Source organism: Homo sapiens, chromosome 2, assembly GCF_000001405.40.
Source record: "Homo sapiens chromosome 2, GRCh38.p14 Primary Assembly".
Lineage (NCBI taxonomy): Eukaryota > Metazoa > Chordata > Mammalia > Primates > Hominidae > Homo > Homo sapiens.
In genome coordinates, this window is record NC_000002.12 from 236,886,142 (window position 1) to 236,899,940 (window position 13,799).

A 13,799-nucleotide genomic window follows, 5' to 3' on the forward strand; every position below is an offset into this window, starting at 1 on the left:
TGGAGTCATGGAGGAAAGCCCAGGCCTGTTGGTGAAGAGAAGGCAGTACTGCAGGGGCAGGTGGCGACTGCTGGTTCAGGTTGCCCTCACTTGGAGCTCAAGTACATGGAGCTCTCTCATCATTTCCATAAATCTGTAATAAATCTGTAAGGCGCATGGGTTCTATTTTATGCTGCAGAGCTTAATCATTACTGGACACGCCCATTTTCCTGGCCAATGAGTGTTTTCCAAAGCAATAAATAAAACGAATTGAGGAAATGGAGTCTTCACCGACTGAGCTGAACAGTCTACCTGTTTGCACTGACTGTGGCTGGTGGTGTCCACAGGTCATGGTGGGCAGAATGGCAGCCGGGACGCCTCTGCTGTGTCCCCAGGTCCAGCATCTGGCTTGGCCTTTCTACTGGCTTTTGTTTTTCCATGGAATTTTGAAATTGTTTGCTGGAATTGGCTGCATTAATCAAACAGTTGTTTCTTAGAGATATTGTTTATGTTTGCTGGAGCCACAGAGGGTTCTGTCGGCAGGAATTTTGCTGGCTGAAAGCAAACTCGGAGCCAGAAAGTGCGATGCCATTGGTTCCACTTTATCACCAAGCTCTGAAGACAAACTCTCACCTCTTCCAGATTTCCATTTGGTCTCGTGACAACGCAGGAGGAAAGAAGCTTGAGAGAATGTTAGGACATGGCGAGGGAGAGAATTCTGGGTCTCTAAGGTATTAGGTTGGTGCAAAAGTAATTGCGGGTTTTGCCATTTTTTAATGCATTTTAGTGCAATTACTTTTGCACCAACCTAATACAAGGAACAGCCGAGGAAAAGGCTGGTCTTGAGGCCCCATCCAGGGCCTAGGGCACCTTCTTCTACTAAGAAGGGAAGTTCACCCTCTTCCGAATCATCACCCACCAAAGTTCAGGGAGCTTCCCCTCAGCCCAAGGACACAGTGACATTGTGTATAAGACCTGGGCAGTTTCCAACCAGGTTGGTGCACAGGACACTGCTGGTTACTTGCTTATATTGTTCCCAAATATTGAATTCAACAAAGTAGTGTGGATAATCCATCATAGCTTATTACTCAAGACTGTGTTCACTTTATTTTAAGACAGCATTCATTATTTCCCCAGAGAATAAAAGTAATATATGAGTCTTATAAAAAACATTAAAAATAGAAAAGTATAAAAATGAAAATAAAATTACCTATAAACATACAATTCAGATATAGCTTCTGAGAATATTTTAATATTTTTCTTTTGCATTTTCATAGACTTTCCCCATGACCTTTAATATTCCATGAGAATATAATTTTTATAGGTTCATAATACACTGTATTATGGTTGTACCATAAATTATTTGGCCATGCTTCTGCCATTGGTTATTTAAGTTGCTTGTACTTTTCTCACTGTTATAAGTAAGATTGTATTGAACATCCTCGTACATAAGTCTCAGGCCACATGTTTTATTTGCTGGAACAACCTTTCCTTAACATCCAATGGCACGTGGCTGGCCCTCCACCCTCTTTTCCTGGAAGAGGCATTTGAATGAAACACTTGACAAATATTTATATGCTAGTAACCATGCTAGAATAACAGCCACAGTCTGCTATGACCTGAATTGAACCAGAAAATGCAGAGTGAAGGCAGGGGGAACACGGCTCGGGGTCCTCTCTGGTCAGGCCTGGAGCCAGCGCTTGTAAACTGTGGACTATCACCCACTGTTGAGAGGCCTCCTTTCGGCAGACTTCAGCACAGGGATGTGGACTTGTTTCTATGAAAGCCTGGAATTCCTGTAGGGGTAGTGCCGTAAAACCGGATCTTTACCTTCCTTATTTAAAGGACTTTTTTGCGCATAGACTGCCTGTCCTGGCCTCTCTCCCACTCTGGAAAGGAAGGGCTGAGAGAGAAAAACACACTGGAGATGCTGTTTTGGATGGAAACACACTCGCTGCCTGTTTCCCTGTGTGCCCATGGTTCTTCTAGGTGCTGGGAATAGACGAGTGAGATGCAGACAAGGCCCCAGTCCTCACGGCACTTATGTGCTATGAGGAAACAAGGAATGCACATACCCCATCGAGGAGGTGTCAGTCCATCTTCATGAGCCAAAAGGTGACATGTGCCAAGGAAACAGGAATAGAGCCTTGAGTGAAGCATCAGACCAGTACAGCCGACCTGGTGGGCCTTGGTGCAAAGGGAATGGAGCAAAGACTGGGAGGTAATGAGGGGATTCCCCAGGTGCTCCCCTGGGAGAAGAGAATTCTGCCCACAGGCCCTGCCACCAGCGAGGGCCTTGCGTGCCGTGGAGTGGGAGGAACCACAAGGTGAGAAGGGTCTGAGGATGTGGGCATGGAGGCATTGCAAGGACTTTGAATTTACTCTGAGAGATGAGTAGTCACTGGGAGGTTTGCAGCCCAGACAACCCACACGGTCATTTCAGGAAGCTTGAGAGAGACTCAGTATGTGGGGCAGCGGGCCCCCGTTTGTGGGGGCCACAGCGCAAACGCACCTGAGCCTGGAGCTGCTGGAACTCCTCTCTCTGCAGCCAGAGACCCAGGCTCACTCCTGGGCCTCCATTCCGCCTGCTGGATCAGCAAAAATGAAATGACTAAATGGGCTGTTGGATTTCAAAGAATTACAGCCCCACTCCAGTCCTTGAGAGAGAAGCAGAGGCCCTGTTCCCCTGCGTCTGTGTGGCCTGCTGCAAATAACGGGCTGGGTTTATGGCGAGGGGACGGCTGGGCGGTTGCTTGTCTAGAAACGCACCATGTGGTCCCTGCCTCCTCCTGAGCCTCAATGGCCGCCTGGGACATAGATAGCCAGACATCGCCAATTTCCAGGTTCAAAATTATATTCCCCCAACGTGAGTTAATCTTCCCATGAAAGGAAGAAATACTTTTCACTTCATGTTACTCTCTCTACTTTTTTTTTAAAGCATCAGATCTTTTATCTCTAGTATGACTATGGATGAAATATCACCAGCTTCATATTTCAAGATAATTTCCCTTCCAGCAAACATTCCCCTAGGAATAAAGACATGTAGTGCCCACACTGCTGGGCTGCTTTTTCCGCCTCTGTCTAAACAAGGCCCTGTGTGTTCCATCTGCTTGTCGGTTCCCAGTGTGCACTGGTCACTGCTGGGCTGAAAGGTCTCGCTTTTAGCTTCCTAGATAGGCCAGCGAGGTTAATAAGTTAATAAAATCCTATTTATCAGACTCCGGAGTCCATTTCCTCTTCCCCGTGGCTCATGGTTGTAATTATTCTTTATGGACTCTCGGTGTTCCTTTAGATCTGATTTCCTCGCACTCCCCTCCCATTTCCTGAAAGCCACGCCACAGAAGGAGAGAGTGGTCTTTTCTCTGGAAAGATGTCTGTTACTCATTTCCACCTTGGTGTCACGAAAGCTAGTCTGAAGGGATACGTTTAAATATTTAAAATTTTAAGATGCATGTGGAACAGCCTGGGTTGCTTCTCCTCCTGAGCAGATTAGGTTAGAAAGACCTGGGGGCCCCTGGATAACCCGGCGTAGCTGTCCAGGAGTGCAGAGATTGGGAACCAGATCCTGGGCTCTTGGCAGCTTCAGCTTTATCTGGAAAATTGGAGCCATCATTTCGACCATGCTCACATATGAAGATAAATGACAATAGCTTGCGTGAAAGTGTTTTTGAAAACAACAATAACAACAAAACACAGAAAAAGAAGGCATGATCTTGGCTGCTTTTGATGTGACTGTTTCCCTTAGCAGGGTGCCAGGGATATGGGGAATTTAGGCCAAATTAGCCGGAGCTTCTCTTATTAGCGAAGATTCGCTTATCAGGTTCCCTGCTGTCAGCTTGGAAGACCCAGAGTCTGACCCCGAATAATGAAATAGAGGACAAATGAAGATTCTGTCTCTGAGCAGGACTCGGGATGGGGAGCAGTGGGCCCCAGCTGGAGGGGCGCAGGTCAGGCTGTAGGGCCCCTGGAGCTGGCTCCCTGGCTTGAGAGAAAGGGCCACAGTCACCTTCGCCTGCCCAGGCCCAGTCGTCTTTCTCGGGAGTGGCGGAATGTAGCTTTCTACCCTACGGGCTCCTGCGCCTCACAGTGCTGGCTTTGGGTTTCTTCTGGGTCTCTGTGCTAACTTAGGCTCCGACGTTTCTAACTTTGGCCAAGAAGGTTTTGTATACGAATTTATAGTGTACTGTATATGTGTGTGTGTGTGTGTGTGTGTACGCGTGCACACCAGCACATGCACTTTTTAAAACAACTAGGAATCTTCTCAGCAAACACTATTCCTTGTCTACTCCCTTCTCTTGAAGATGGTCACTGAGTGGCTACGGAGACACAAACTTGGAGGAAAGCACCCTGGCCTTGCCAACAGTGGAGAGTGCCCCAGGGCCAACCCCGATGAATCTCTGCCAGATGAGGTGCAGAAGGGGATGGGGCAAAGGAAGCAGATACTCCCCCACGTGACTTCCCCACAGGAGCCACTTAACCAGAGGAAGACAGTGATATGGTTTGGCTGTGTCCCACCCAAATCTCATCTTGAACTGTAGTTCTCGTAATCCCCATGTGCTGTGGGAGCAACACGGTGGGAGGTAATTGAATCACGGGGGTGGTTACCTCCATGCTGTTCTGGTGATAGTGAGTGAGTTCTCACGAGATCTGATGGTTTTATAAGGGACTTTTCCCCTTTTGCTCAGCACTTTTCCTTGCTGCCGCTATGTGAAGAAGGATGTGTTTGCTTCCCCTTCCTCCATGATTATAAGTTTCCTGAGGCCTGCCCAGCCCTGCAGAACTGTGAGTCAGTTAAACTTTCTTTATAAATTACCCAGTCTCAGATATGTCTTTACTGGCAATGTGAGAACGGACTAATACAGATGGGCAGAGAAAGGTCTCCGTGCCAGCATCTAACCTGGTGATCAAGGATGGAAAGAAGAGTGGGGCCACACCATGTAGAGACTCCTCTGAGCCAATTTCACTTGAGGGCCTTGGCCTACAAGCCAAACAAACAAACAAACACATAAACAAACAGGGGGGCTATGGCTGCCAAAATACACAGAGGCACAGCCCCCAGGTGGCCCCCAGCTTCCTTGCCCCCACATCCTGAACACCCCTCTGCACAGTAACAAGCTGGCAGAGAAAAACTACAAGCAATTTAAAATTTCTTCCCTTTCCTCTATCTGACCTTCAGAGAACTAGTCTGAGATCTACGACAACTTCAGAATCCATCTCTGCCCAACCCTGGACAGGCACAGACTTCCCTCTGCAAGAATATAAAAGCAAGCACATAAACCACAACCAACTAGGCATCTGAATCTATTAATTAATTCAACATCCATTGAATAAGTCAAAAGAGGAAGATAATATGATCAATTAATAAATGCCAAAGAGCTCCTTGGCTAAAATCCAACCTATCTTAATTAATTTCACCTACACATGCACTAAACAAACAATCCATGTGATATGAGATTCTGTTGCAGTTCTCTAATGTGGTTCTTAAAAAATCTCAAAACAAAAATCATTGTCATGCTTCACTGTGACACAATAAAGCCATTCAAATTAAAGTCAAGACAATGAAAAGGATGCCTATGTTCACTGTTGTTATTTAATATGGTTTTGGAAATACCAGCCAATGCAATTAGATAAGAGATCATTTGAAGATGGCATTAGTGTGTGTCTAGAAACACAAAGTAAATCAAGCGAAAACATTATTAGAATCAATAGGAGAATTCAGTTAGGTGGTCTTAAAATTACTATGCAAAATCAATAGCTTTCCTTTATCTGAAAAAATAAACATTTAGAAAGTGTAACAGAAGGAGCATACCCATCTGAATGGCAATAACATTTGAATAGCCAGTAATAAACTTTATAAAACAACTGCAGGACCAATGTGAGGGAAATATTGTATTCTGCTGAGAGACATAAACCCTATGAGGAGTATTTTCTGTAAGTAAATGAGATAACTTCTTGTCCTCGGAAGGGGAGGCTCAACTGTGTAAAGAAATAAATTACCCTAAATTAGACTATATATTTAGTCTATGGTCTAAATATAGGCCTGTGCTGCCCGGTTATTAAAATGTTGAGTTATTCCAGAAAGTCAGAGCACTTTGCACCGGAGCATGAATAGATAGGATTGTTGAGCTGAATACACGGGACAGAAATGACTGAAATACCTGTGGGACGCCAGTGCTCTCCGCATAATGAAGCTGACATGTTAAGGCAAAGGGGAAGTCCTGGAAAACTGACAAGTTTCAGTCTTTGGGGGGAAAGCAAGTTACAGAGCAGTATGTAGAGTGTGATACCGTTGTGTACAGAGAACAGCTGCAGATTAACATTTTTCTAGGAGAATAGATGGGAAAATGATGATAATTATTAAATCTTTGCTGGGGAGATTGGGAGCGGGAAGGAGTTTTCACTTTACTAAGTTTGGGGGAAATGACTTCAGTGTTTTGAAAACAAAGTGATATACATCTTCATATAGATGATCCAAACGATTACTTTAAAAAAATAAAATTGGTTGAGCATAATTTTAGAAATGTCATGATAGATAGACCAATATACTTACAGATGGATAGAAGTAATTTTATAAAAACTGGATCATATGATAAGTATTTGTCAAAAATGCATCAAATTTAATTTTAAGGAACTGCTGTATTTCAAACAAATGCTTCTTTGCTCCCTCACTATGAGAAAACCAATTGGATTCTAAAAGACCCCTAGAACATTAGAAAGGCGGGGGGAAGTAGAATAAACAATGAATAGGTTAGAATGACAGCACTGTTTCAGTTGCATGTTGGAACTTGTCACAGTGCCTGTTAATTTGCTGCTACGAAAGATGATGAAATGGGTGCACCCACCCTCCATCCCCCTGGGTCTCACCTACCCACCAGGTTTTAGTAGCTGCATTATTACTGGTTCATTTTAAAGTTGTATAATCTCTACGATGCGTTCTGCAGCAAAAATTCCCAGAACAGCCTCGTCCTGACTCTCCGTTAAATATATGCGGTGTTTGCCAAGAGTTAATATTTCATGACTTTCCCGTTCTTGAGTTGCTTATTTGGATTCATCATTTGGTTAGCAGGGCTTTGCACCAGCAGCTCATGGATGCTGCAGCTTCTAAGTCTACTTGTGTTTGAGAGTGTCTACATGTTGCCTTTGCTTTTGGAGAGCGATGTGATTGCATGAAAAGAATTGGTAATGCTTTCCTTTTCCTTGACAAACTTGTAGGCCTCCAGCCATGGAAGTGTTCTAGTGGGGAAGGAGGAAGCCACCATGAATATCTCCCTTAGAAGAACACTACTGTGGCCAGGGACACTTATGCAATTCCCATAAGGTTCTTTGTTGTTATATGAACTGCATTTTACACACACACACACACACACACACACACACACACACACACAAACAACTGCCTAGCAGCACATTGTAAAGGCTGTATAATGTGACTATTATCATCCTTGTTTTCTTTATTCCTGAAATCTAATTAAATAACTTCAGTGGGTTATGTCTGTTGATCTCTCAGCATTGACTTTTCCTGAAACATGATGTCTATTTCATATACAGATTCAGGGCTATTTTTATGTCAGGTAAGCTTTAAGAAAAAATCTTTGAATGTTTTAACGTGTGTTCTATTCTTTTATTATAATTATCCCTGTTCTTGTCTGTTTTCATTTTGTACAAATCTTCAAGCCTATCTACCATGTCCTTGGCAGTATCCTCTTCAGTGGTTATTCTTTTTTGTTCTAGTATGTTTTACATTTCTTCTAGTATGACTTTTAATTTATTTTAATTACTTTGTTAATTTGAAGGAATTATGCATATAATAAATGCACATAATAAAAACAAATTCAATTAATTCCAAGGTATATACAGAAAAAGTTAAGTTTCTCTCTCATTGTAGACACCCAGATCCTCAGTCTGTCATTTCCAGATTAAGTGTATTCTTCCAGAATGTTCTTCACAAATGGCAGTATCATCTACACAAGAAGAAGCATAACAGTTGGAAACTTTTTTTCATGTCATTACTTATAATTTATTGTTTTTCACGGTTGCATAGTTTTTTGGATACAAATACTTTAGTTATGAACATGTAGTTTTTTTCACTTTTCTACTTCTCATATTTTATTTTTAAAATTATATTTACTATGACCATTTTTTTGCACACAGTGCAAGAATATCTAGAATAAAATTTTAGCAGTAGAATACTATTTCAAATGTCTTGTGCTATATTATTACTAGTAGGGGAGGAAGGTCCTACTGGCATCTAGAAGGTAGAGGCCTGAGATCCCATAGTGAGCAGGACACACTCCATAACAAAGAATTATCTGGCCCAAATGTCAGTGGTTCTGCAGTTGAGAAACCCTGTGCTGTAGGACATAAGCTGTTACTGCATGTGCCTTCAATGCAAGTTGTATCAGGGAAATGCCCAGTCAAATCAGACGGTCCCAAGGAAAACCACTGTCTGGTTACGAATAAAGGGTCTATAAAAAGCATAGAACAACATAGCAATAATGCATAATTTAGGGGAAAAATGAGGACCAAAACATTAATACGGGGAAGCAATAAATGCATTAAAATATTAAGGAATAGACATAGCATAGCAGTAGCTGAATAATAGCGTAAGGGACAGGCATTAAGATATAATAATAATAAAAACAATCCTGTAATAACTAAAATGTATTAGGTTGAGCCGTAGGAAAACATCATTTCGTAGTTTACAAAATAGTTGAATATTGATAATATGACATGAGTTAATCTATTAATGATTGCTTACTCTTTGATATGGAGCGGTCTATTATAACAACGTTATCTGACTCTTTCTTTAACACAGTCTGATGAGGTAATTCTCAGGATACAGATGGACGTCTGTGCTCTGAAGTTTAATCCTCTCACCCAAGATCAAAGAGAAAGTAAGTGCACAGCCAGAACTGAGCCCTGGTTTATCTGTTGTCAAACCCACATTCTTCACTGTGAAGCTAATATTTGCACAAAGTAAAGAAATAAAAAAAGAGATAAATGAAATTAAAAAGATGTGAGAAGAAGAACACAGGCCACCGAGAGCTAACATGTAGACAGTGGGTGCCTGTAACGTCAGGAACAGAACAAGTGGAAGAGAAGGGCAAGCACGTTCAGAAGGACCAGAGAAGAAATCATGCTCAAGCAAAGAATTCAATCTGCTGCTTGAAAGGCCACATCATATTCCTGGAAAATTTTAATAACAAAAATAAATCCTAAGGTATGTCTTGCTAGAAATATTTAACTCTAAGGATTAAGAAAGAATACTACAAGCTTTCAGGCAGAAGAAAAGGCTCATGGCCTAAAGGAGGAAAAATGCAGAGCAACATGGACCTTAGACTTGTCCTCGACACAGCTCTATCGCAGAAGCAAATTTCACGGTAGCTTTAGGAGAACATGAGAGTCCTAATGTTTGTACCCAGTGAAGTTTTTCTTCATGTATAAATTCAACAAAAAATCATAATAAAAAGGTCAATGAATCCCTTCTGAAAAAACTAGTAAGCCATATTTGAAATGACTGCAAATGAAGACTTCAGACAAAGGGAAGGTATCATGACAGGGCTGGCGGTGAGCACTGACATGTGGAACTGAGGGTAAACAACTCGATAATTCTACTTATGCAATGCTGTGAAGTCAATCATTTGAAGGAAAAGATTGGGAAGTAAAATTTTAAAATACTGTCTAATATACAGAAACTAAAATTCCTGGGTTTATAAACAAAAGGAAGAAGTAGTACCAACATCAAATCATCTAGTCTTTCCTCCACTGTTTTGATGTAGCTTTGGTAGAATTATTTCATTTTAAAATTTTGTTCCTGAAGTTTTGAAAAGAAAATGTAATGCTATCTATCCATGTTCTTATAAAATTAGTCACTATGAGAAGTAAGGACAAATTATATAGCTCTGAAACTATCACATTCTGAAAAAACACTGAACAGAAAACAAAAGATACAAAAGAAAGAAAGAGAAAGTATTTCATTTTGACCAAAAAGAATGAGGAGCACTGATAACTTAATATGTGAAAATCTATTAACATAATTCACTCTGTTGACAGATTTATGAAGAAAACATATGGTCATCTCAGTAGATACAGGAAAAAAATTCAATTAAATTTAATACTCATATGTGATCAAATAACTCTTAGTAAACCAATAAGCAAATAATCTTAACTTGATTTTAAAAAGGCTCAACAAAATTAGACATCATCTCGTTTGGGTGGTGAAACATTAGAAGCATTGTTTTGTTTTTTGAACAAAAAAGTTGTCTATTACCATTGTTTTAATTGATAAATATTATATTAAAATTCTAGAAAGTATCAGTCAAAGAAAAGAATCCCTGCCTTAAACAAATTCCAAATGAGATAAAATATACAGAGAGAAGAATCAGAAAGAAACACAGATATTATTTCCAGCAACAATGAATTAGAAAATGTAATTATAAAGGTTTCTGCCAACCATAAAGCAAAACTTACAAGTATCTGGGAATGCATCTAACATGATGCAAGCCTGATTTTTTATTGAGAAAATTATAACACAATTTGAAAATGACTAAATAAGTGGAAATTTGTTCTGGATTTACAAGTGGGAAGCCAACCTTAAAACAATATCAAGTCTCTCTGATTTAACTTATGATAAAGTCCATACAATTCTAGTCAAAACCCTGCAGGGTTGTTAATAAAACTTGACATTAATCTTTATCATAAAATCCTTACGAAAGGGTAAAGGTCTAACGATAGTGAAGCTATGTCCTAAAGAAGGATGTTGGCTGGGGAGACTGCCTGACCATTTATCCCGGCTTTATAAGATTACAGTAATTAGAACAGGATGACATCAACACACGAGATAAACAGAGACCAAGGATACGGCTTTGAGGGCTCAGAAGCTGGTCCATGTATATTTAGGTTAAAAAGTAAAGCTTTAAGATTTGTAGGAGAAAGAACAGGGCAATGGCCAATGTTGGTAAAGATGTGGAGGAAAGATGACTCTTCTGCCCTGTGTTTAGAGGTTTGGGAAGGAGGAGGGGGACGTGTAAATGGGACAATTTATTGGAAGACAGTTTGTCTCTTCTGGTGAAGCTGATGATGGCAATACCCTATAATGCTACATTTTACTAATTCAGGAGATAGTCCACAGAAAATCTCACATATCAGGACTTTTATTAAAGCGTTATTTATAAAAACGAATATTAGAAAAAAACCAAAATGTCCATACCTGGGAAAATGGGTAAATTCTGCCATATTTATAAAATACTACACAGTAATTCTTCTGAAAATTTAAGTCTTAATATGTCTACATGGAGAACAGGATGAGGACAGAAATTTCAACTGTGTGAGTGACAGCAATCCTTTGAGAAGAAATAATATTCAGAGTAGAAACTGAAAACAGAGTTGAATGACATAACCAATACGTTGACAACTGGCACCTGCATTCCTCTTGGGGAGAAATTTGTCTCTGTTTAGGGGGAAAGGGCTTAATCAACTCAGATTTAGAAGGAAGAACTCAGATAATATATTCTGGGGTAAAAGATACCTGAAAGAGGGTGCCGCATGGTATTAAACTCTGATTAATTTAGGACCGACCGTGAGACAATAGAAAATGTTTACTTAAAAGCTGAATATTCCAGTTCAAAGATTTTAATATTTGTAAATTTTACAAGTATCATATATTACCTTTGTAATTAAAAAAATAATTATTAAGAAGTTTCGGGCCGGGCGCGGTGGCTCACGCCTGTAATCCCAGCACTTTGGGAGGCAGAGGCGGGCGGATGATGAGGTCAGGAGATCGAGACCATCCTGGCTAACACAGTGAAACCCCGCCTCTACTAAAAATACAAAAAACTAGCCGGGCGTGGTGGCGGGCGCCTGTAGTCCCAGCTACTCGGGAGGCTGAGGCAGGAGAATGGTGTGAACCCGGGAGGCGGAGCTTGCAGTGAGCCAAGATGGCGCCACTGCACTCCAGCCTGGGCGACAGAGTGAGACTCCGTCTCAAAAAAAATAAATAAAAAAAAAAAAAAAAAAAAAGAAGTTTCACCTATACTAGCAATCAAAGAAATGCAAATTACGACAAAGAAACACCATTTTACACAAACTACATTGTCAAAGATTTAATTAAAATGACAAGGCCTCTTATTGACGAGTGTTCGGGGAAGTCAACACTGCTTTACTGCTGGCAGAATGTAAAGCAGTACAGATTATCTAGAGCACATCTGAATACTGGAAAATAGTCAGACCCTCTAAATTATAATTCCACTTTAAGTAAATTATCCTCAGCTAAGATCAGAGATGTGCACAAATGTTTACATACAAGGATGTATGTTGTTTCTTAAGTTGTAAAAGTAAAATATAGGGAATCTCTGTATGCTCAATGATAGTAACGTATTTAAATAATCCAACTACATCATGATGGAATACTACTCAAATGTTCAAATAAGTTTTTCAAAAAAGATTCAGTTTTATAGGAAAATGGGATATATTGTTAAGATTAAAAAGTGACTTTCAACACAGTATTATAGTTTATCTCCTATTTTTTGTGTATGACTAAATATACAAGCATATAGAGGGAATGGAGGGAGAGAGAGAGAGAGATAGAGACAGAGAGAAAATAAATGTATAGAAGAAAATATACCTAATGTTAAATGCACTAACTTCTGGATGTTTGGCATAGTTTCTGTATTTTCCCGTCTTTGTACATGTACATATATTACTTTGATAGTGATTTTAAAATGCAAGGCTAAATATATGGAGAGAGAGTAGACAGCAACCTCTGCAGACCCCTTGCCCACTCTGGGGAGCCCCATCCAGCTTGCGGAGACTGAGCAGCCCAGGCTTCAGGTCGTGTGACCTGTGGCCAACAGAATCAGACTCCTTCTGGTCCGGTTTCTTTTCAATGACTCTAGTGCCAGATGGCGAAAGTAATTTAGAATTCACCTCTCTGAATCCAGCCTTTGTACTGCACAGCAATTTGGAAGAACTGAAGAAAAGAAAATGTTTTTGTAGGAGATATATATATATATATCTCCTATATATATATATATCTCATATATATATATATATATATATATGCAAACAAATAAAGGCATCAGAAACATTGTTGGGTCACACAATTGTCAGCTTCATCTCCATGAACACATATGGCCCAGATAAGTAGCTGTGCAAATGCATCACGTGACGTTCAGATTCTTCTTGACGAGCAGTAAGGAGTAAATTAGAATCCCACTAGGGCTTGAACTACAAATGAACTACCGGGGAGGAATACCATTTTTGTTGTGAAAATAAAGGTACTAATTTGATAAGGAGATTAAGGGAGTGGATTGAGGGGAAGGGAGGTTTCCTTGTTAAAAATTTACCGTTGTTAATGGAATTCATTAATCGCTCCCATCTGCTCTTTCTGGCTATGAAAACAGTAAACCAAGAAGGAAAATTATGGAGGTCTTAACACCTCCAGGATGTCCTTATACTTTTTAAGGAAGATGGACATTTAGCCTTTGTATTTTAGCAAAGACAAAGGTTTACTAAAATACAAAGTTGAGTATACATTTGTATAAAGAGTTACGCAAACGCTATCCCAGTAACTGAGGACGGCACACTCAGAGTGTTTCTGGAAATAAAGTGAGCACGGTGCAGGGACCTGAAGCCCGGGAAGAGGCTGAGACATTCCTGGTCACCTGTTCAGCGTAACCTTTCTCCAGTTAGCAAGCTGACAGCAGGTTTGCTGCTGATAATATTTTTATTTCCTAACTCTCCTGGCCATCTGTCCAGTTACATGCGATGAGTCTTCTGTAGTTACTCTGGGATTCCTGGAGTCATAGTAATTTCCTAAAAGA